Source organism: Homo sapiens, chromosome 12 (assembly GCF_000001405.40).
Source record: "Homo sapiens chromosome 12, GRCh38.p14 Primary Assembly".
NCBI lineage: Eukaryota > Metazoa > Chordata > Mammalia > Primates > Hominidae > Homo > Homo sapiens.
The window spans coordinates 63,344,439-63,367,831 of NC_000012.12; the positions used below are offsets into that span (position 1 = coordinate 63,344,439).

At 37.3% G+C, this 23,393-nt stretch overlaps 1 long non-coding RNA gene across 3 annotated transcripts in view; it reads right to left on the minus strand.

Annotated features, from left to right (window-relative positions):
• The window catches only part of LINC03056 (long intergenic non-protein coding RNA 3056), a 90,518-nt gene that overhangs the window by 61,203 nt on the left and 5,922 nt on the right, over positions 1–23,393 (minus strand). For 2 of the 3 annotated variants that reach the window (XR_007063344.1, XR_007063343.1), the window contains exon 1: positions 15,438–15,633. The exons of the other annotated variant lie outside the window; for it this stretch is intronic. This is a non-coding gene — a long non-coding RNA (long intergenic non-protein coding RNA 3056). Of the gene's footprint in view, positions 1–15,437; positions 15,634–23,393 lie in introns of those variants that run through there. 3 annotated transcript variants of the gene reach the window in all.

The following is a 23,393-nucleotide window of genomic DNA, read 5'->3' on the forward strand; positions in this document are numbered from 1 at the left end:
CATATTGGAGTGGGAGGTAGAGAACAGACACAGTCTGAATAGAAGAAAAGGGTTCTATTTTCAGACCCCTGGAGAATGACAGAAGGGAGCCCCAGCCATGGCAGTGCTTGGAAAATCTTGCAATGTGATGGTTCCTACATCATCTTCTGGTAAATGAATCATTCTTACTATTTCAGTCATCATCCCCTCTAGTCTTAAGGGTTTAGATCTCTCCTTATTTACTTCTTTTACAGAAGAAATTACTTCCTCCTTCAGGACTGAGTTGGTCTCTTCAACTTTATGTATGCGTCCACAAGACTTTGTATCTTTTACGATTCCTTTTCTAGGCTGGTATCTTCTAAAAATTACTCAATATCTAAATATTCCTTTTGATCAGAACTAAGTATGCCAAGAAATGGATGCTTCATCAGAACTGGTGCAGCCAGTATTTGCAGAACCTGCATTTTCTTTCCCAAAAGTCAGCTTCTAGCCTAATGCATAAATCTGAACAAATATGAGAGACCCACCAAAAAGCCAATAACAGATATACACACCACTGACTTCCACTGGAGACTACTGTAGTCAATGCCTAGCCTCATGTCATCTGGAAGCAGCTCTGCTACCACTTTTTGTGACTTCCCCAGGATCAGCTGAAAGCCAGGCTCCATAGTGGTTCACAATGCCTGCATGGCACTGAAGCCCCCAACAGAATTCCAGTGGGTAACCATAGCTCCCATAGCCTACAACAAACTGCTCAGAATCCCACCGTGTTCTGCCTGGAACCCACCCACCCATGTCTGGCAAACTAAATCAATAACAAACGAGCCAGTCCAAGTGGAGGATAGGTACAAATTTTTTTTTTACTGTGCTTTTTGCCATAGTGGCCTCTCTTTTCTCTTCTTTTTAATTTTCCCTTCTTTTTAATTTTTTCAATTATGAAATGTTTTTATCAAAATCCAATAAACACACCATAAAATTCACAGATTTTTAAGTGTACAATTTGATGACTTTTGACAGGTTACACCTGTGAAACCAACAACCTAATCCAGATTAGACCATGTTTACCACTTTAGAAATTTCCCTTGTGCCTCCTTCCCCTCCCTTGTGCCTCCTTCCCCTCCCTTGTGCCTCAATTCCCCACCACCATCTTGATTGCTATCACATGTTAATTTTGACTATTCTTAAATTCCCTATAACTTGAATCACACATAAGGTAATCTTCTTGAAATACAATAAAATACAATGTTGAATTTCATCCATGTTGTAAGTGGAACACAGTTCACTCTATTTTTAATTTTCTATTGTGCATCGTATAAATATTCCATGATTTCTTTATCCATTCTCCTTGTTTTAGTTTGTTCTTGCATTTCTATAAAGAACTACCTGAGACTGGGTAATTTATAAAGAAAAGAGTTTTAACGGGCTCAGGGTTCTGCAAGGTATATAGGAAGCATGATGGCTTCAGGAAGCTTGCAATCATGGTGGAAGGCAAAGAGGAAGAAGGCATGTCTCATATGGCCAGAACAGGAGGGAGAGAGAGCAGGGGGAGGTGCTACATACTTTTAAACAACCAGATCTCATGAGAACTCATTCACTATCACAAGAACAGCAAGGGAGAAATCTGCCCCCTGATCCAATTACCTCCCACCAGGCCCCTGCTCCAATACTGGGGAATCACAATTTGACATGAGAGTTGGGTGGGGACACAAATCCAAACCATGTCACTCCTATTGAACAAATCCAAACCATATCACTCCTATTAATGGAAATGTAATTTTTCATTTGTCTTAGGTAAATAACTAGGTATGGGGATGTTTGTGTAAGAAACTGTCAAACAGTTTTTCAGGGGGATTGCACTAGTTTACCTTCCTATGCATGAGGTATAAGGGTTATATTTGTTTCGTATTCTTACCAATATTTTTTTCAGTCTCTTTTAAAATGTTAATCACTTCCAATACAAGTGAATTTGTTCTATTGTTTTAATTGGTCCTTTCATGTGCCTATTGGCCATTGTACAAATTCTTGTATAGAAGATGTCTTTGCTTTATTTTTTAAAAAACATTTGAGGTATTTGTCTTATTCTCATTGACTTATAGAACATACATCCTAGTCATAAAAGTCAGATATATGAAATGAAAATACTTGATTCCAATCTGTGACTTGCAGTTTTGTTTTCTGAATACTGTCTTTTGATATGCAGGTTTTAACATTGATAAAGTCCAATTTAATACTTTTTCTCTTTTATAGTTAGTGCTTCTTGTGTCCTTTATAAAACATTCTTGTCTAACCCCAAGGTCATGAAGCTATTCTCCTGCCTCTTCTTCCAGATGTTTTATAATTTTAACTTTTACATTTGCATCTTGACATATTTTGCAATATTTTGCAATAATTTTGTGCAATGTGATGTAGGAGCCAAGGCTTATTGACTCTCTTTGTTTTGTTTTTTTTTAGACGAAGTCTCACTCGGTCACCTAGGCTGGAGTACAGTGGTGTGATCTCAGCTTACTGCAACCTCCACCTCCCAGACTCAAGCAGTCCTCCAACTTCAGCCTCCCGAGTAACTGGGACTACAGGCATGCACCACCATGCTAGGCTAACTTTTTTGTATTTTTTAGTAAAGACAGAGTTTCACCATGTTGGCCAGGCTGGTCTCAAATTCCAGACCTCAAGTGATTCACCAGCCTAAGCCTCCCAAAGTGCTAAAATTACAGGTATGAGCCACCATTCCTGGCCTGACACTTTTTTCTGTTGGTTATGGATCACTTTTACCTACTTGCTTGCATATCCAGTAATTTTTCCTAATAAGCTGGATGTTGTGGATAATACATTATAGTGAGTCTGGATTGGCTGTCTTCCTTCAATTGGTGGTATGTGTTGTTGTGGCAGGCAGCTCATGAATCAATTCTTTTGATCAGACTTTGATTTATTTATTTATTTTTGTTAGTGTGAATGTATTTCACTTTTGTCTTTAGTCCAAGGGGATAGCCCTTACTTCTAATTTTTGGACTTTCTTAGATCTCAGTAGACTGTCAGAGGTGCTCTGCCTGCTCTCAACACACTGGCTAAGTCAGCACACCTGTGTTCCCAGCACTGGGCTCTCTCTGGTGTCTCCTTTCAGCTCTCAGATCTGCAAAGGCCACCTTCTGTTAGGCCTCATAGAGTTTAGCCCTGTGCACATCAGCCCTACTCTTGGGCAAAGACCTGCAGGAAACTTCCAGGTAGATTTTTGTCCCCTTCTCCTAGCCAACCCTGTAGATTCTCCTTTCCTGTACTCTGCCTTGCAAATTCCAGCAGCTTCAGCAGCCCATCTCTGGCTCCTCAGTTCAGGGAGACCACAGTGCTCTACTTGGCTCCACTTCCACCTTCCTAGTCCTGGAGAGTGTCCTACCTAAGAGCCAGAGCTCAGCTCATGCACTTCCACTCTCCCAAGGATCTCAGTCCTGGGCTAGGACTGAGAAGTCACATCATATGTTTGGCCTAGTTTTATGTTTTTGAATTATGGGTTGAATTAGGTGTACTCCCAAAATACATATGTTGAAGCCCTAACTCCCAGTATCTTGGAATGTGACATTATTCAGAAATTGGGTTGTTACAGTTGTAGTTAAAATGAGGTCATACTAATGTACATTGGACCCTTTATTCAATGTGTTGAGTGTCCTTACAAAAAGGGGAAATTTGGAGACAAACACACACAGGGAGAATGCCATGTGAAGACGAAGGCAGAAAGGTGCAAAACAATGAACACTAAATATTGCTGGCAAATCAGCAGATGCTTGGCAAGAGGCCTGGAGCAGATTCTTTTCTCACAGCCTTCAGAAAAAACAATTCTGACAACAATTTTATTTAGGACTTCTGGCCTCCACATGGGAGTCAATAATTTCTGTTGTTTAAGCCACTCAGTTTGTGGTACAATAGTCCTTCTTTATCTACTGGGGGTATGTTTCAACACCCTCAGTGGATGCCTGAAGCAGCAGATAGTACCAAACCCTATATATACTATGTTATTTCCTATACATACATACCTATGATCAAGTTTAATTTATAAATTAGGCACAGAAAGAGATTAACAACAATGAGATAGAAAAATTGAAATAATATACTGCAATAAAAATTATATGACTGTGGTCTCTCTCTAAATATCTTTTTGTACTATACTCACCCTTCTCGTGATGATGTGAGATAATAAAATTCAGACTGCAGTTGACAGCAGGTGACTGAAACTGTGGAAAGCAAAACCTCAGATACAGTGGTCTACTGCACTTTGTTACACAGCCCTAAGAAACTAATAGATTGTGGTAGGAGAGTAGCTGGGCACCAGTAACCCCGCCCTCAATGTGAATTTCTTGACTCTGCTCCAGGCCTCTTCCCCTGGGGCACCCTGGGCCTGGGCGGTGTCCTGCACTCAAGACTTCAGTTTCAGCTCTGTCTTCAGGTACTAGAGCTCTTGCTACAGCTGCTGGCAGTTCTGGGAGAACCCTGGGAAGACTTTAAAATACAGCAGGACTTCATTTCCAGAGATTCTACCTTAATCTATCTGGTGTGGGCCTGAGAATCAATTGCTTGTCAGTGCTTCCCAGGTGATTCTGATGTGCAGTCAATAGTGAGGAAATCCTGCTCTGAGCCTTAGAGTACAAGTCAGCTGCCTAATTTCCTGCTGTGAAGACTGATTTTGGGTTAAGGCATCCCCAGATAGCTGGGCAAACATCACTTCTGGCTGTGTCTGTGAAGCTGTTTCCAGAAGAGATTAACATTGGAGTCAGTAGACCGGGGAAAGAAGATCTGCCCTCACCAATGTCAGTGGGCATCATCCAGTCCCTTGAGGGCCTGGATAGAACAAAAAAACAGATGAAGGGTAAATTCTTGCTTTCTGTCTTTGAGCTGGTACATCCATCTTCTCCTCTCCTAAGATATCAGAGCTCCTGGTTCTCTGACTTTGGGACTCTGGGACTTATACCAGCACCCCCACCCCCTAATCCCTTCTCAGGCCTTCAGCTTCTGACTGGGAGTTACAGCATTGGCTCCTCTGGTTCTCAGGCCTTTGGGCTCAGACTGAATTATGCCACTGGCTTTTCTGGTTCTCCAGCTTGCAGATGGCATATTGTGGGCTTTCTCAGCCTCTATAATCATGTGGTCCAATTCCCATAATAAAGATCCTCTCATATATGTCTATGAATATACACATCCTATTGGTTCTGTTTCTCTGAAGGACCTTGATTAATATGCCAACCCATGAATCATTCAAACAAGCCAATCACATCCTTTCGACAGAACTAGGGTGCACCTCATCCTCTTTCTACTATAAAACTTGCCTCTAAGCCTTTGCTTGTTCTCTCTGCTCCTTGTTCTGCTCTGCCTGGTGTGTGTTGTCTCCTGGGCTGTGAGTATATGTGACTAATAAACTGCTGTCCCTCTCATCTGCCCAGTGTCAGGTGTCATGTTCGGCCACCCCCACAACCCTAGGATGGCAATGCCTGCCTCACCAATGGGGTAAAGAGAAGGCTAACAAAACAATGGTAGCATTGGAAATGATGAGAAGTGAAGATAACGAGCAGGGATCAGATGTATTTTGGAAGTAAAGCTGACAGTAACAGATGGATTTGGATAGGACTTCTAGGTTTTTGGCCTGAAAGCTTCAATATATAGTGGAACTGCTAGCCAAAGTGGGTAAAGATAAGAACAAATTTGATGGGAAAAATTAAAAATAATTAAAAATTATTAACAATGTTTTTAATAATCAATATTTTGACATACTATGTTTGTGGTGATTAAGAGATATCCAAAGTATATTCAGCTGGAGTTATCAAATAAGCAGGTAGATATTTAATTCCGAAGCTCAGGGGCTTACAGACCTTTCTCCCCTTAACAGGTCATGTTGCAATGTGGAACTGTGGACCAGAGAGAGATTAAGTGAGCTCATCAAGATCATAGCTTAGAAATGACAGGTGTTTAGGCTATAAATCAGTGTTCAATCCAATAGAAACATGAACCCTAAAACAAAGGAAACATATTGTCTCATCTGTACCCTTTTCTACTGAGCTGCACATAAAGGTTTGAAAAGGTAACTTGGAGACTGAAGGAACTGGCAAGGATGGAGCTATATAATAGTGGCTCACTTTTCTTCTGCAAAGTGAGAAGTTGCTACAAAGAGATGGGCTAATTCACCCTAAATATAATAGACTTTAACATGCGCAAATTTAAACTTCATGGTTAGATTATTTATAAATGCCCCTAGACTCTCATGATAGCTTGTAATTTTACTAAGATTACAAATTTGCATCAAGGTGTCATGAGGCTTCAATGTGGGAGTGAGTTTCTTCCATAGTGAATAAACCTAGGTGTCAGCCAAGTATCCACATCTCAAGCCAGTTTCATTGTTTTTGCTTGTTTTCTTGTACATGGGGACTTTTAGTAAATAATAAAATAGTTTGATTCTAAAATATATTACAAAAACAATAAAAACCTCCATGAAGGAAAGAAGTTCAAATGATTCAAACATAACTTCAGTATTATTGTATTTATATATTAGAGATTTGAAGAAATTGCTTAAATTCTTTAGTGATGCTTTATTGCATCTTATGGGGGATATTATTGGCTATCATGGTATCTGGGGAATGACAACATTCTAAAAGGTATTCCTGACAAACAGCAGGAGTCCATGTTATTGTTTCACTGAATACCAGAAAATCCTTTGATTCTAAACCAAAAAGGCATTGATTTATCATGAAAATAATTTCAGACATGCATTAAAATGGGAAGAGATGAAGGTAAATAGTGACTGCATTTGGTAGTACAGCTTTGAAGCTGGTACACTTAGTTGTCACATGGCTGTCCAATATTGGCAGCGGTCTACTAAGTAGAACAGTTGTTACAGTTTCAATGGACATTCAACCAGTTTATGGGATTTACAGATCAATGTAGTTAATAATCTGGACCAAGAGAACATGTTACTACAAAGAAAATTTTAGAAAAAGAATACAAATATAGCCTTTTTAGTTTAAAAAATATAAAATCCAACTGATCAAGAAAATTTTGAATTTGGGGAGACACACGTACAATAATGAAATATTGAAAGCAGACTCTCAGCAGGTGTGCAGGGATTCTTAATAGAGTGATAAAGTATAATACAAATGGCATGCGTTGGCAGTAATTTAGTGTGACTCATAAAGACAGTTACATAAACTACTATTCATAAAAGTTGTCCTAGAATGAAGGGGGTGGGCATGTTCACCCATGCTATTCCGCATCTAGAAGATCCTCTCAGTTGAACATTTAGACCTTGAATCTATGCACACAGTCTAGAGCTGAACTTTGATTCCCCTGGCAAATTAAGGATAATGGTGAGAAAGAAACAGCCAGGTGCTAAAAAGGGAGGTTAAAGCACTTATCTTGATTTTTTTAGTTCATGTGTGTGTGTTTAAATTTTCTTTCTGATTGAAAAGTAACACTTACTTGTTGCAAAAAAAAGAAATCAAAACAATCCAGAAATGCACAAAGTAGAAAATTAATCTTTCCCCCAAGTCCCACTTCTCCAAACAAACCATTATTAACATTTGGTATACATTTTCAAAAACATCTTTCTCTGTAAAATATACGTGTGCATGTTTACATATGGATAAAAGGAGAAAGAAAAAGCTTTATATTTGCAAGAATGGGATCATACTGCACATACTATAGTGGAGCTTTTTGTTTTCACTTAATATGTCTTGAACACCATTCCATAGCCATACATGGAAATCTACTTCATTTTTAAATGCTTTGAATACACAGAATAAGCATTCCTTAGATGGAATGTGTCATCATTTATTTAAATAACTCCAGATAAATGAACATTTTGATTGTTTCCAATTTTTAGCAATCAGTATTGCAAGCAACGCTGCATAGTACACATATGATATACCAGTGCATGCTAGTGCAAGTATTTCCACAGAAGTTCTTACAGGAGGAATTGCTGGGTCAATGAGTTCTTTTACATTTTGAATGCAATGATAGACTGTGGAAAGGTGAAGGAACTCAGGCTGTGGCTGCTCTTTCTGACACCTGAGAAGAGGAATTCAGTACATACCGGCAGAGGAGGGGACCATTCATCTAATATTGTGTGAAAAGTCCCAAAAAGCCTTTCTACCCAGAACTCATCTCTTCTCTGGCCTGCATAAAAGCCTGGAATTCGAAGTATAAACTCAAGTTCTTAGTAGCTTTTAGCATTCATTTTTTAGTGGAGTGATGATGGTCTTACAAAATCTGAGAGTAATATTCTCTGTAAATGAAATATTGGCAGGAACTTACAAATCTATTTTAATCAGCACATCTTTTTATTTCAACATCGATGAAAACCTTTATAAAATTTTAGTCTAATTTTCTGTTCTTATTATTGTGGTGGGCTAAATTAATTTGCTTTTCTAAACCTGAAGCTCTTGTAATACCTAAGAATCATTCTTAACATAATACTGTATTTTGCCCAATATATCTTGATACTTTAGATAGAGTGAACTTCTTTTAGATACAGTCTCTCCCCTCCCTCCCAACTATCCAGTGAGTAAGGCAGGCCAAGGGTACTTTGGTTTAATGAATGAGAAAATTGAGATTCAGAAGTTTGAAAGGACTAAACTAGGACACATGGGCAGTATTGTCAGAATTTATCAATGATGAATGCATCATATGATAGATTTAGAAACAACTGGAAATGCGGCTAAACTTTAGCTGACCTCAGGAGATGTCCTGAAAGGTTTGAAATTGGGAATTTTCTGCTAGTTAAGTTAAACTTTGTTGCTTCCTCTTTTGTTAGTTCTTAAAATATATGATGGTGCTGGCCGTGCACAGTGGCTCACGCCTGTAATCCCCACACTTTGGGAGGCTGGGGTGGGGGGCGGGGGTGGATCACGAGGTCAGGAGTTCAAGACCAGCCTGGCCAAGATGGTGAAACTTTGTCTCTACTAAAAATACAAAAAAATTAGCTGGGCGTGGTGGCATGCGCCTGTAATCCCAGCTATTCAGGAGGCTGAAGCAGAGAATTCCTTAAACCTGGGGAGCAGAGGTTGCAGTGAGCCGAGATTGTGCCACTGCACTCCAGCCCGGGCAACAGAGGAAGACTTTGTCTCAAAAAAAAAAAAAAAAAAAAAAAAATATATATATATATATATATATATATGTATATATGATGGTGCTATATTTCCTTTTTCCTTAGCACATCGAAGTGTTGTTCATTAAAAGATTGGATTAGCCTTATAATGTTTAAATTGAGGTTTTAAGGTTTTACTTTACCATATACACTGTGACTAAAACATAGATATGTTCACCACTAGGGGATACATCAGCCAAACTAATAAGGCCATTCTGGGCCACCAGCAACAATAGTTAGCTTTTACATTATTCTATGTGTTGGGCATCCATCCAAGATTACTCATGTTAACTCATTTAATACTCACAATATCCCTGTGAGGTGGGTTTTGTTACTATTCCTATTTTGTACAAGAAGAAAATGAAATACAGAGCCATTAAGTAATTTGTCCAAGGTCACATAGCAAGAAAATAGCAGAGCTGAATTATAAACTCAACTGTTCCGACCCCAGCATTCATGCTCAAAACAACTGAACTATACTGTAGTGTCAGAATGGCAATTTCACTGTCCTGTGTCATGCTTCACTGCTTCAGAAAACAGGTGGCTTCAGGAAGCTAACATGTCAAACCATCACTTGTAGATATTACAGTATAAATATAACTGGCCAGTCCAGAAAAGTCAAAAACACATTTGTGAAATGCAGTTTCCTTAAGATTCCCACTCTCACTTGAATCTGACTTGATGTCACTCTAACTTTGACTTTTATTGACTTTCTAGTGGGCCAAGAAAAATAATGGAAGGAATTTATTGAATTTTATTAGATTAATATTCCCAAGGGGTGAGCTGTATAATAAACTACTCATCCTCTCCCAGTGGTTCAAATTTCAGCTAAATGCAGCCTTTATGACAACATTCTCCCTTTATCACTTGAAGTAATGTTCAGCTACTAGTTGTAGGAAACTTTTGTTCTTTTCCCTGTTAAGGCTTAACAGGCTTCATCTATGTCCCTACAAAGGACATGAACTCAACATTTTTTATGGCTGCAGGAATGGAACAATGAGAACACTTGGACACAGGAAGGGGAACATCACACACCAGGGCCTGTTGTGGGGTGGGGGGGAGGGGGGAAGGATAGCATTAGGAGATATACCTAATGTAAATGACGAGCTAATGGGTGCAGCGCACCAACATGGCACATGTATACATAAGTAACAAACCTGCACGTTGTGCACATGTAGCCTAGAACTTAAAGTATAATAAAAGCATATATATATATATATATATATATAAAAGAAACAAACAAACAAACAAAAACAGGCTTAACTGTGTTTTTATTAGCAATGGTCATATTTTAAAGGCATCTTTCTTATGCAGCATTGAATATTTTAACAAACTGAAACTTAACCTTGACAGTACCACTAAACTTTAACCAAAATGTCTCACATATATTGGAGTCATTGTATACAATCTCAAGCCACAATGCCTAGGTTCAAATCCCAGTTCAAATCTGCCTCTTACTGGCTGTTTGCCTTGGGCAAAATCTTTAATTATTTAGTGCCTTAACTTCCTCATCTTTAAAGTAGGGATTTTGACAAAGCCTACCTCACTCACAGGCTTGAGAAGTAATTGTTTACTTTAGACAAGTTTCTTATGCTCGGCACTGGTCAAAGTTCTTTACATGTGTTACTCATTCAATCCTTACAACAACCCTGCTATCCCCACTTTAAAGTTGCTAATATCCCCAGTTTAAACATGAGGAAACTAAAACACCAAATGGTTAAGAAACTTGTCTCAAGAAAATTGTTAAAGCTAGTAAGCAGTATGGCCTGGATATAAACTTAGCCAATCTCACTCTAAATCTACAGTTTTAGTCACTGCTACACACTGCTATTTTGATAATCAGTTTTAAATTGCAACACACTTTCAGACCCACTTTATAACAGCAAACATGTTCTTCTAATGTTTTTTTCATTCTGACTTCTGTCTGTAAGCAACCAAACCAACCCTATTTTGCCATTCAGTGATCCTGGTGTTCTAACTACATAGACCATGATTAAGATCATTCAAACATTGGTGGGATGTATTTCTATAACTTTAAATAAATCCCTTCATCTGCTTCTAGACTCCAGGTTCATACCATCTGCTATATTAGATGCTCATTAGACTCATGGCAGGATAAAACTGCTCATGAAAAATCCATGTAGTGAGCGTTTAGAATCATTACAAAAGTCTTCTGAGAAAAAGATTTATAACAGAAGCCTTTAGGTGAAAGAGTAAGAAGTAAAATTTAACAGTGAAATTTACACTGTCTCACAGATTTTAGAAAACCTAGTCATTTATCATTCATTTTATAGGAATAAACAAAATGAAAATTTACATTGCTATTTTGGAAGGGAAAATACTTTATTCTTATTACTCTCAAGACTTTAAACCAAAATAGGAAAGTAGACTCACTTCGAGGACAATACTTCAAAATCAATTCTAAAAAATTAGCATTGTAGCCACATCATACTGTTTTCTATAATAGAGCTCCATTTTTTCTTTTGCTTTTGATAAACTCAATGAATTGTTGTCAAATATAACACCCTGTATGCTACCTGAAGTGAATCAAATCTTTTGGGGAAGAAAGTTCTGATTTTGGACAAACTGTAGGAAGCCATTTTTAAAAGGGCTAAGATAGCTATACTGAATTTTTATCAATCTTTGTGATCACCTCAGAGTTTTTAAGTAATGCTGTGTTTGCATAAACATGCTTGTTGAATGAGGTTTTTTTTTTAAAAAAAAAAAGAAAAAAGACAACAACAAACAGTATTTTCCAGGCTAATTAGACTGTCTATGCTTAAAACTAACGATTAGAATTTCCTACGGAGCAATTCAACTCCTCTATCACAGGAGTGAACCTGGAGTAGGCAACTGCTGACCCATGATGGTTTGAGAATTTCTGAAACACTTATTTACCTCTGCAAGAAGCATGCAGAAGTTTAAAATCATAGGGTCTCAAGATTTGAAGGAATTCAATGGTCAAATACAACCAATCAATCAATGTTTTAACTCGCATTTTCAGTATCTTCAATAAGTCACCCATGAATAACACTAGGCCATGAATAACACCTCTGAAGGCAAAAAACTTACTTCCTAAGCTCTAAATGCTCCACAATCATTCCTCATAAAGACCAACTTTATTCCAAGACCTTTTCTAGCTGAAAATAAGTGTTTTTATTCATATGTGTATTTTCAATGCCTAGAAAAACATAGACAAACAAATGCAGAGTGAAGTTAGTTGAGTTGAATTGCAATGGACTTCCTTGTGTCATAGACTGCCTTGCATTCTAGTTAATTGAGCATGTTTTATTTCCTAAACTAACTTGTAAACTGTACAAGGGAGGGCACCTTTTTTCATATATCTCTGTATCCTTTGCATCCTCTACTATTGTACAATGCACATAGAATGCCCTATATATTTCTTGAATTTAAAATGTGAATGAATGAATGAATAAATAAATAAATCTTAGTTCTAGGCTATTCTTATGAGATACATTTTACGCTGCTATTCAAAATCAGGAACAAACATTTATGTTCTTTTTCCAAGATTTTAAAGAATGACTGAAGTTAAATTTTCCCTAACTAGAAATTTCCACACAAAGCAGCCAGTAAGTCTTTGTAGTAAGACTTAGCTCCCTGATTTTTGAAACTGATATTTCCTTCTTAGAAATATGCAGGGATTTTATTAAAAATATGTGGCTTAAGGAAATTCAAAGACTTTTCCATATATTCTTTTGTCTGTTATTTCAAATGTATAAACATACAGATTGAATGCCCATTTAAGGCAAAATTATATTTATGTCTCTAATAAGATGTTTATATTCTTTTTCTACCCAACGGAGATATTGAGTGTGAAAATTGGCTACTGAAAATGAATGGGACCAATATATATGCTGTAGAGTATAAAAGTGCAAAAACAGCCAGCACAGTGGCTCATGCCTGTAATTCTAACACTTTGGGAGGATTGCTTCAGCCTGGAAGCTCGAGACCAGCCTGGGCAACACGGCAAAACCCCGTGTCTACAAAATAAAAATAAAAAAATTAGCTGGGCATAGTGGTGCATGCCTGTGGTCTCAGCTACTTAGGAGGCTGAGGTGGGAGGATCACTTAAGCCTAGGACGTCAAGGATACAGTGAGCCATGTTGGTGCTACTGCACTCCAGCCTGGGCAACAGAATGAGACCCTGTCTCAAAAAAAAAAAAAAAAAAAGTCTATAAAAGGATGTTATCTGTTGAGTAAGATAAGCATTAATTTTCAGTTAATTACTTTTGAAAGTATCAAAGTTAACACATAATGCGTATTTTAAACTCTGTCTGTTTAGTTTGGCTTGATGAAATAGTACAGATGTAAATTATGTCCTTGTTCAAATTCTGAGTATGCTACAAACCAACTGGATAATCTTGGACAAGTTATTAAACCTTTCTGGGTCTGTTTCCTCCCTGTAAATAGGACTTTTTTTGATTATTAATACATGTAAAGTATTTAACACAGTGCAAGTGATCCATAATTACAAGCTATTACTAGTATGTTCACAGAAGAATAGAGCATGGCTGTTGAATGAAAGAATCAATTGAAAATACGATTACTCTCATTTATGCAATCAGAAATAGCACACACTTTCAAATCAGTCACTTTATAAAACTATTTAATTGTTCAGGGAATACTGTTTTTACTCAAAATAATTTTGGAACTCCTTTCTTGAAATTGCCTTAAAACTACTTTATGAGCCACTTAAAATACTACCTCACCATCACCTTTTAAAATATTCATTTTTCAAGGTTAAGATCAAAGATACCACTCTTTTAAATGATTTTTCTGATTCCCTAGTTTAAAATGCTCTCCTCCTCCACTGAACTCTTAAAATGCTTTGCCTGTAACCCCCTCCTTTACTTTCTATGTATTAGAGTTTCATCTGCTCTTGCCTTCCCTATCCTACTAACAGCAAGCCCTAGGAAACATGTTTCACTTATTCGTGGATCCCGAGGGTCTCTCTCAGTTATTTTTAATTAATATTTGTTGCTCAAAGTTTGTTTTATTGATTATTAATGAGGCTGTTTGTGTCTGAATGAAGCCACACTGGATTCCTCTGACAGCCAAGGAGCAACCCTGGGCAATGGGTTCAATTTCAGCTCACTTTAACTACTTCGCCATTTTCTGTTTTTAAAGACAGGGAGTACGTCTAGGTAAAGAGCATAAGCTTTAACATCAGACCAATGACATGCTGCATGATTCCATTTGCACAAAATTTTAGAAAAGAAAAAACTGTAGGGATGGAAATAAAATCAAAGGTTGCTTGGGGGAGAGGAAGGGATTGACTTCAAAGGGACATGAGGGAATTTTGAGGGAGATAGAATGTTCTAGATCATGATAGTTGAGATGGCAGTTATAATATTGTATGCATATGTCAAAACTCACCAAAGTTTGCAATTTTATATGCAAATTATAGTTCAAAAAAAGCAGATTTAAAAATATTGAGCCAGTTAGAAACTTCAAGGAGAAGCAAAGGTGAAAGTCTGGGCCAAAGTGGGAGAAAGGAATCAAGAAGGAAAAACTCAGTAAGTTAAGCTTCATCTTAAAAAAAAACGGTACGAGAGAGAGAAATCTATGAGAAGTTAGAAGAGCTTTTCTGAATTCCACCTGATTCTCAAAGTTCAGAAAAACAAATTCACATAAACCAAGAAACCTACTAGGTGTGAAAACTTGTTCTGGATGGTGAAAGAATAAAGGAGAAAACAAATAATATTAAATGAACAAATGCTACATTTGGTGCATATTAGTAATTCAAGCTCAACAAAACAGCATGCCCGAGCCAATGACCTAAGAGCAATTAAAATGAAAAGTAGCACAGCCAGATGGAATTATTGAAAATGATGATGTGCAAAGGAAATACTAGAATGGACTTCCTGGGGAGGTGTGTTCAGAGCCAGATTTTGGAAGAAGTAATTGATCACATCGCGGGGAGCAATACTCTGGACGAGAAAGAATGTCATGAGCAAAGACCTAGAATCAGGAAATAGTAAGCGTGAGAAAATGTTATTGATTTTCCTGTTACTGTATATTTATTAGCATAGCCTTGAAGTGACATTTGCGGTCTAACACAAGTCACAATTCTTCCCGGAAAACTTCTCTGTCAGCGCATCCCAAATGGAATGCTCCAACTTCACAGAAATCCTTCAGTCTGTGCCTCACAAATTAGTATCCTGATTTGTTTCTCAACTATTTAATGTGTTCAGTTACACTATTTCTGGTGCAGGAATCATGCATTCATCCCTCTTCTACTCCCAAAAGGTGTAGTACATTCCCGGGCAAATAGCATGAAATAAGACAAAAATTTGATTTATTAGTCAAATTTAAAACTTACCTTTGAAAGAAGTAAGAACATGTTATTCCTTCAGTAAAAACATTTCCCCTTCAAGTAGAGACATATTTAACACAAAAGTAAAACACCAGAATGCCATTGCTGTGTACTTTTCCTCTGTAAAGAATGATTCTCCTCTCCCTCTCCATCTCCTTCTCCCTCTCCCTCTCCTTTCCCTTCCCCTACCAAGGACTGAAATGTTGCTGGATACTCTGTCAAAGAACTAGAAATCACTGGAGCTTGTTTGATGGTTTAAGATATTTTCTTAGTACAAGACTGGAATATGTGAGCATCAGGACTAAGTACATCATTTGTACACATATGAGGGTGGGAGGAAAATTTGGGGTTGATTCAAAAATGAAAGATTTGGGCCTTTCTGCCCATCTTCCCTCTGCTAATCTCCCTTGAAGGGATAAAATGCATATGTGAAGTGGATTCAGTTGAACTGTAAGCCCTGTTGTGGCACCCACAGGAGGCTGCAAAATAAACACTCTTCTGTGTTTAGGGGTCACTGATCGCTATCCTGCTAAGGATTTGTAAGTTGAACTTTCTTTAACCTTGAAATCCATGGAACAAATGTGTGTCCAAGAGAGTTTAACTACTGCTAACCTCATTATTGTTGATGTTTCTGTTTGATCTGGTTTTCCTTTTATATCGTTATTTATTCCCATTTACTTGATACAAGTTTCCTAGCAGTTACTGGTTTTAAAGACCTATTGGAACAACTTAGAACAACTTTTAATGATGCTGCTCTTTGGAGTCATTTTATGATAAGAAACTACCAGTTTGTTCCTTTGAATTAGACCAGTTATACTGCAATATAATAGGCTTATTCTACTCCTGTATTTCCTTACTTCTGACTTAGTCATTTCTATTGCTGAATGGTTTACTAGGGTTTATTTGTCAGTCATCACAGGAGGAACACACAGAGATATTTTTTCTCAGTAAGGAGTGTTCTACATCTCACATTCAGTCTAGGGTAATCTGGGCTCTCTGTTGTGTTCAGAGTTTAACCATTCATTATTACAATCTATGCCCACAAATACAATTAGTAAGTGGTATTTTGAGGACTCCATAAAAACACAAATCATAGGTTTACATCTGCTCTTAAGTTAAAAGAAACATGTTTTTCTTTATTATAGCCCTCTCTTTGGGGACTTTGATACAAGATTATTGGTAATCATTTGGGGATATTTTACTCTACTCAGCATTAGTCCCCCACCCAGAACATCTGGAAAAATACAGCCAATATCCAATATCGGTATATACAAAAATAGTCCTTTGATAAATATTTATATATCTTTAATAATTTTGTATTTGCCTTCATATAATGAGAAGAGGCAGAATGACTTACTTTGCTTCAATTTGCTACTGCAGCTGCTTCCAAGCAATTCAAATGCACATTGCCTTTCTTATACTCAAATCTTTTAGGATCTCTGGAAAAATTCTAGGCATGTAAGATGGTTTTTGCACTACCCTCTTCAATTTTTTTCATCTTTCATGTTTGCATACCTGCAAGTGGTTAACCAATCAAGCAAGCAAATTAAAAAAACAAAAGAAGAAAAAAAACCCAGTTGAATTTAGTTAACTGGCCCATTATTTTGAAAATAAGTTAACAAGTGAATAAAAAAGTATATATTGGCCCTTTAAATTCAATCGTTTGTGTAAACTTTTAGAGTTATTTGTATGTAAAATAATTATGTGTATTAAATCACAAATTGAGCATGAAGAGTGTCAGAAAACTAATAAACACCTAAAAACAATGATTTCCTGAGATCCAAGAATTTAAATGTATTTAGAAAAGTAGAGAAAGAAGAAAAAGCAAGAAATTCCATTGAATCTAAAAGAAATGTACCTTTTCAGTATATCTTGAAATACTTTTTATCTTTTCTCTTTTTTTTCAACTTTTATTTTTAGATCCAGGGGCACATATGCAGGTTTGTTACATGAGTATATTGTATGATGCTGAGGTTTGGGGCATGAATGGTCCTGTCACCCAGGTACTGAGTATAGTACCCAAAAGTTAGTTTTTCAACACTTTCTTCCCTCCCTCCCTCCCTTTCCCCTCTAGCAGTCCCCAATATTTGATAGTGGGTATATTTTCCCGTATGTTCTGGGTGGGGACTAATAGTAAGTAGAGTAAAATAATCCCTAAATGATGACTAGTCTTGCATCAAAGTCACCAAAGAGAGGCCTATAATAAAGAAAAAATATCTTTCTTTTAACTTAAAAACAGATTTGAACCTGTCAGTTATATTTTTATGAAGTCTTCAAAATACCATTTACTAACTGCAGGATTAGATTGTAACAATGAATTGTTAAACTCTGAACACAACAGAGAACCCAGATTACCCTAGACTAAATGTGAGCTGTAGAACATTCTTTATTGAGAAAAATATCTCTGTATGTTCCTCCTGTGATGACTGGCAAATAAACCATGGCAAGTCACTTGGCAATAGGAATGATTAAGACAGAGTAATAAAATATAGGAGAAGAATAAGCCTATTATATTACAGCATAATTGGTCTATTGTTGCCATCTTTATGTCCATGAGTACCCAACGTTTACCTCCCAGTTATACGTGAGAATATGCAGTATTTGGTTTTCTGTTTCTGCATTAATTTGCTTAGGATAATGGCTTCCAGCTGCATCCATGTTGCTGAAAAGGACATGATTTCATTCTTGCTTATGGCTGCATAGTATTCCATGGTTTATATGTACCACATTTTCTTTATTCAATCCACTGTTGATGGGCACCTAGGTTGATCCCATGTCTTTGCTACTGTGAATACTGCTGCAATGAAAATGCAAGTGCATGTGTTTTGTTTTGTGTTTGTTGTGTGTGTCTGTGTGTGTGTGTGTGTGTGTGTGTGTTTGGAAGAATGATTTGTTTTTTTTTTTTTTTTTTGGATATATACCCAGAAATGGGATTCCTGGGTTGAATGATCACTCTGTTTTAAGATCTTTGAGAAATCTCCAAACTGCTTTACAAAGTATCTGAACTAATTTACATTCCCATCAATCATGTATAACCATTCCCTTTTCTCCACAGTCTTGCCAACATCTGTTGTTTGTTGACTTTTTAGTAATAGCCACTCTGACTGGTGTGAGATGGTATCTCATTGTGGTTTTGATTTGCATTTCTCTGATGATTAATGATGTGAAGCATTTTTTCATATGGTAGTTGGCCACTTGTATGGCTTCCTTTCAGAAGTCTGTTCATGTTTTTTGCTTATTTTTAATAGGGTTATTTGTTTTTTGCTTGTTCAATTAATTTCCTTATAGATTCTGGATCTTAGACCTTTGTCAGACGCATAGCTTGTGAATATTTTCTCTCATTCTGCAGGTTATTTGCTCACTCTGTTGATAGTTTATTTTGCTGTACAGAAACTCTTTAGTTTAATTAGGTCCCACTTGTCAATTTTTGTTTTTTTGCAATTGCTTTCGAGGACTTAGTCATAAATCATAAATTCTTTCCCAAGGCAGATGACCAGAATGATATTTCCTATGTTTTCTTCTAAGATTCTTGTATTTTGAGATGTAACATTAATCTTTAATCCATCTTGAGTTGATTTTTGCATATGGTGAAAGGTAAGAGTTCAGTTTCATTCTTCTGCATATGGCTAGCCTGCTATCTACCCCAGCACCATTTATTGAATAGGGAGTCCTTTCCCCATTGCTTATTTTTGTTGACTTTGTCAAAGATTAGATGGCTATAGGTGTGCAACTTTATTTCTGGGTTCTCTATTCTGTTCCATTGGTCTGTGTCTGTTTTTGTACAGTACATTCTGTTTTCGTTATTATAGCCTTATATAATTTGAAACTGGGTAATGTGATGGCCTTCAGCTTTATTCTTTTTGCTTAGGATAGATTTGGCTATTTGGGCTATTTTTCAGTTGTATATGAATTTTAGAATATATTCCGTGAAAAATAAGGTTGGTCGTTTGATAGGAATAGCGTTGAATCCGTAGATTGCTTTGGGCACCATGGCCATTTTAATAATATTAATTCTTCCAATCCATGAGCATGGAATATGTTTCCATTTGTTTATGTCATCTATGATTTATTTTAGCAGTGTTTTGTAGTTCTCCTTGTAGGTCTTTTGTAGATCTTTTACTTCCTTGCTTAGATGTATTTGTAGGTATTTTATTTGTTTATGTGTGGCTATTGTAAATGGGATTACATTCTTGATTTGTCTCTCAGCTTAAATGCTATTGGTGTATAGAAATGCTACTGACTTTTTGTACGTTGATTTTGTCTCCTGAAACTTTACAGAAGTAAACTTTATTAGTTCCAGGAGTCTTTTGGTATAGTCTTTAGGGTTTTCCAGATACAGAATCATATCATCCATGAAGATAGATAGTTTGATTTTTTTTTTTCTAATTTGGATGCCTTTTCTTTCTCTTAACATGATTGCTCTGGTTAGCACTTCCAGTGGTATGCTGAACAGGAGTGGTAAGAGTAGGCATCCTTGTCTCATTCCAGTTCTCAAGAGAAATGCTTTCAGTTTTTGCCCATTCAGTATGGTATCAGCTGTGGGTTTGCCATATATGGGTCTTACAATTTTAAATTATGTTCCTTTGATGACTAGTTTCTTGAGGATTTTTAAGATAAAGGGATGTTGGATTTTATGGAAAGCTTTTTCCATGGAGCTTGAGATGATCATACGGTTTTGGTTTTTAATTCTGTTTACGTGGTGGATCACATTTATTGATTTGCATATGTTAAGCCAACCTTGCATCCCAGGAATGAAGCCTTCTTGATCATGGTGAATTAACTTTCTGATGTGCTATTGAAATCCATTTGCTAGTCTTTTGTTGAGGATTTTTACCCCTATGTTCATCGGGGATATTGGCCTGTAGTTTTCTTTTTCATTGTGTCTTTGCCAGGTTTTGATGTCAGGGTGATGCTAGCTTCATAGAATGAGTTGGAAAGGAGTCCCTTCTCTTCAGTTTTTCAGAATAGTTTCAGTAGAGTTTGTACCAGCTTTTCTTTGTACATCTGGTAAAACTCAGTTGTGAATACATCTTATTGGTAGGTTTTTTATTACTGGTTAAATTTTGGAACTAGATATTGGTGTCAAGGTTTCGATTTCTTCCTGATTCAATCTTGGGAGATCATGTGTTTACAGGAATTTATCTATTTCCTCTACATTTTCTAGTTCGTGTGCACAGAGATGTTCATAGTAGTCTCTGAGGATCTTTTGTGTTTCTGTGAGATTGGTTGCTATGTCATATTTGTCATTTCTGATTGTGCCTATTTCGATCCTCTCTCTTTTTTAATCTGTTAATCTATTTAACAATCTTTCAATCTTACTTATCCTTTCTAAGAACCAACTTTTGGTTTCATTGATTCTTTGTATAGATTTTGGGGTCTCAATTTCATTCAGTTCTGCTCTAATGTTAATTATTTCTTTTCTCATGCTAGCTTTGATGTTGGTTTGTTCTTGTGATAAACAATATTTTTAATCTTTTAGACACATGATGTTACACAGGTCAGCCACCTACCAACTTAAGGTACAGCATGAAAGCCAGAAAGTCACTATGGACACACATAGAGATGACATGTCTTGTAGCTGGAAAGCAAACTGTGCTGAAAAGCAGACCCAGGATTTCACTGAGAGGAGCAGAGTTACTCCTGAGTTGCCCCATCCTGGGGCAAAATTCCTCTCCTTCTATGTACCTGTGAAGTGAGATAGCCAGTTATCCACTTCCAAAATATAATGATGGAACAGGCATGGAATAACAGTTATGGACAGTTCTATCCCAGAAGAGAGAAAATAAAAGGAAGAAAAAAGTTACTTGTCACAAGCAATTTTGAAATCCAGCAGGGCAAAATCCATTAGGCTTCAAGGTCTGGGAATAATCCTCTGTGACTGGAGGCTCCACTTGCTGTAGCTCAAGATTCTACTCTCTGGGTCTGTGGCTCTGTCCTTGAAGAGCAGCTGAATAATTCTATCAACCTGTTTCCTGCTGCCTTTCAGGGCTAAGGTATGTGTTCACCCAGATGCTGAGAGTGTTAGCAGCTGGCAGCTTTCAGCTGAATTTGTCTTGTGACCTCAACCTTAACAAGCTACCCAAAGCCATTCCTCTCCTCCATAGAGGAAGCCTGCATTCAATGGTTGGTCGTTGTGGACCACCTCTGAAGTGCCTTCACAGCATAGTATTTTTTGTAGAATTGACTGAGGACTTTGTTTTTTGTTTTTTGAGATGGAGTCTCGCTCTGTTGCTAGGCTGGAGTGCAGTGGCATGATCTCCACTCACTGCAACCTCTGCCTCCTGGGTTCAAGTGATTCTCCTGCCTCAGCCTCCCAAATAGCTGGGACTACAAGCATGCGCCACCATGCCTGGCCAATTTTTGGTATTTTCATGGAGACAGGGTTTCAAGATGTTGGCCAGGAGGGTCTCTATCTCCTGACCTCATGATCTGCTTGCCTCGGCCTACCAAAGTGCTGGGATTATAGGCGTGAGCCACCACACCCCGCCAGGACTTTGTTTTTTATTACTATTACTTTTTATTACTATTACTATTATTTTACTTTAAGTTCTGGGATATATGTGGAAAATGTGCAGGTTTGTTACATAGGTATACATGAGCCATGGTGGTTTGCTGCACCTATCAACACATTATCTAGGTCTTAAGCCCCGCATGCATTAGATATTTGTCCTAATGCTCTCCCTCCACTTGCTCCCCAACCCCTGAGAAGCCCCAGTGTGTGTTGTCCCCTTCCCTGTGTCCATGTGTTCTCATTGTTCAACTCCAACTTATGAGTGAGAACATATGGTGTTTGGTTTTCTGATCCTGTGTTAGTTTGCTGAGAATTATGGCTTCCAGCTTCATCCATGTCCCTGCAAAGTACATGATCTCATCCTTTTTAATGGCTGCATAGTATTCTATGGTGTATATGTGCCACATTTTCTTTATCCAGTCTATCATTGATGGGCATTTGGGTTGGTTCCAAGTCTTTGCTATTGTAAATAGTGCTGCAGTAAACAAACATGTGCATGTGTCTTTATCGTAGAATGATTTATAATCCTTTGGGTATATGCCCAGTAATGGGCTTGCTGGGTCAAATGGTATTTCTGGTTCTAGATCCTTGAGGAATAGCCACACTGTCATCCACAATGGTTGAACTAATTTACACTCACACCAACAGTGTAAAAGCATTCCTATTTCTCCACAGCCTTTCCAACATCTGTTGTTTCCTGACTTTTTAATAATCGCCATCCTAACTGGCATGAGATGGTATCTCATTGTGGTTTTGATTTGCATTTCTCTAATGATCAGTGATGATGAGCTTTGTTTCATATGTTTGTCGGCCACATAAAAGTCTTTTGTTTTTGAGAAGTGTCTGTTCATATCCTTCGCCCACTTTTTGATGGAGTTGTTTGTTTTTTTCATGAAAATTTGTTTAAGTTCCTTGTAGATTCAGGATATTACACTTTTGTCAGATGGATAGATTGCAAAAATTAACTCCCATTTTGTAGGCTTCCTGCTCACTCTGATAATAGTTTTTGTTTGTTTTCCTATGCAGAAGCTCTTTAGTTTAATTACATCCCATTTGTCAATTTTGGCTTTGGTTGCAATTGCTGTTGGTGTTTTTGTCCCAAAGTATTTGTCCATGCCTATGTTCTGAATAGTACTGCCTAGGTTTTCTTCTAGGGTTTTTATGGTTTGGGGTTTTACATTTACATCTTTAATCTGTCTTGAGTTAATTTTTGTATAACGTCTAAGGAAGCGGTCCAGTTCCAGTTTTCTGCATATAGCTAGCCAGTTTTCCCGACACCATTTATTAAATAGGGAATCCTTTCCCCATTGCTTGTGTGTGTCAGGTTTGTCTAAGATCAGATGGTTGTAGATGTGTGGTGTTATTTCTGAGGTCTCTGTTCTGTTCCATTGGTCTATATATCTTTTTTGGTACCAGTACCATGCTGTTTTGGTTACTGTAGCCTTGTAGTA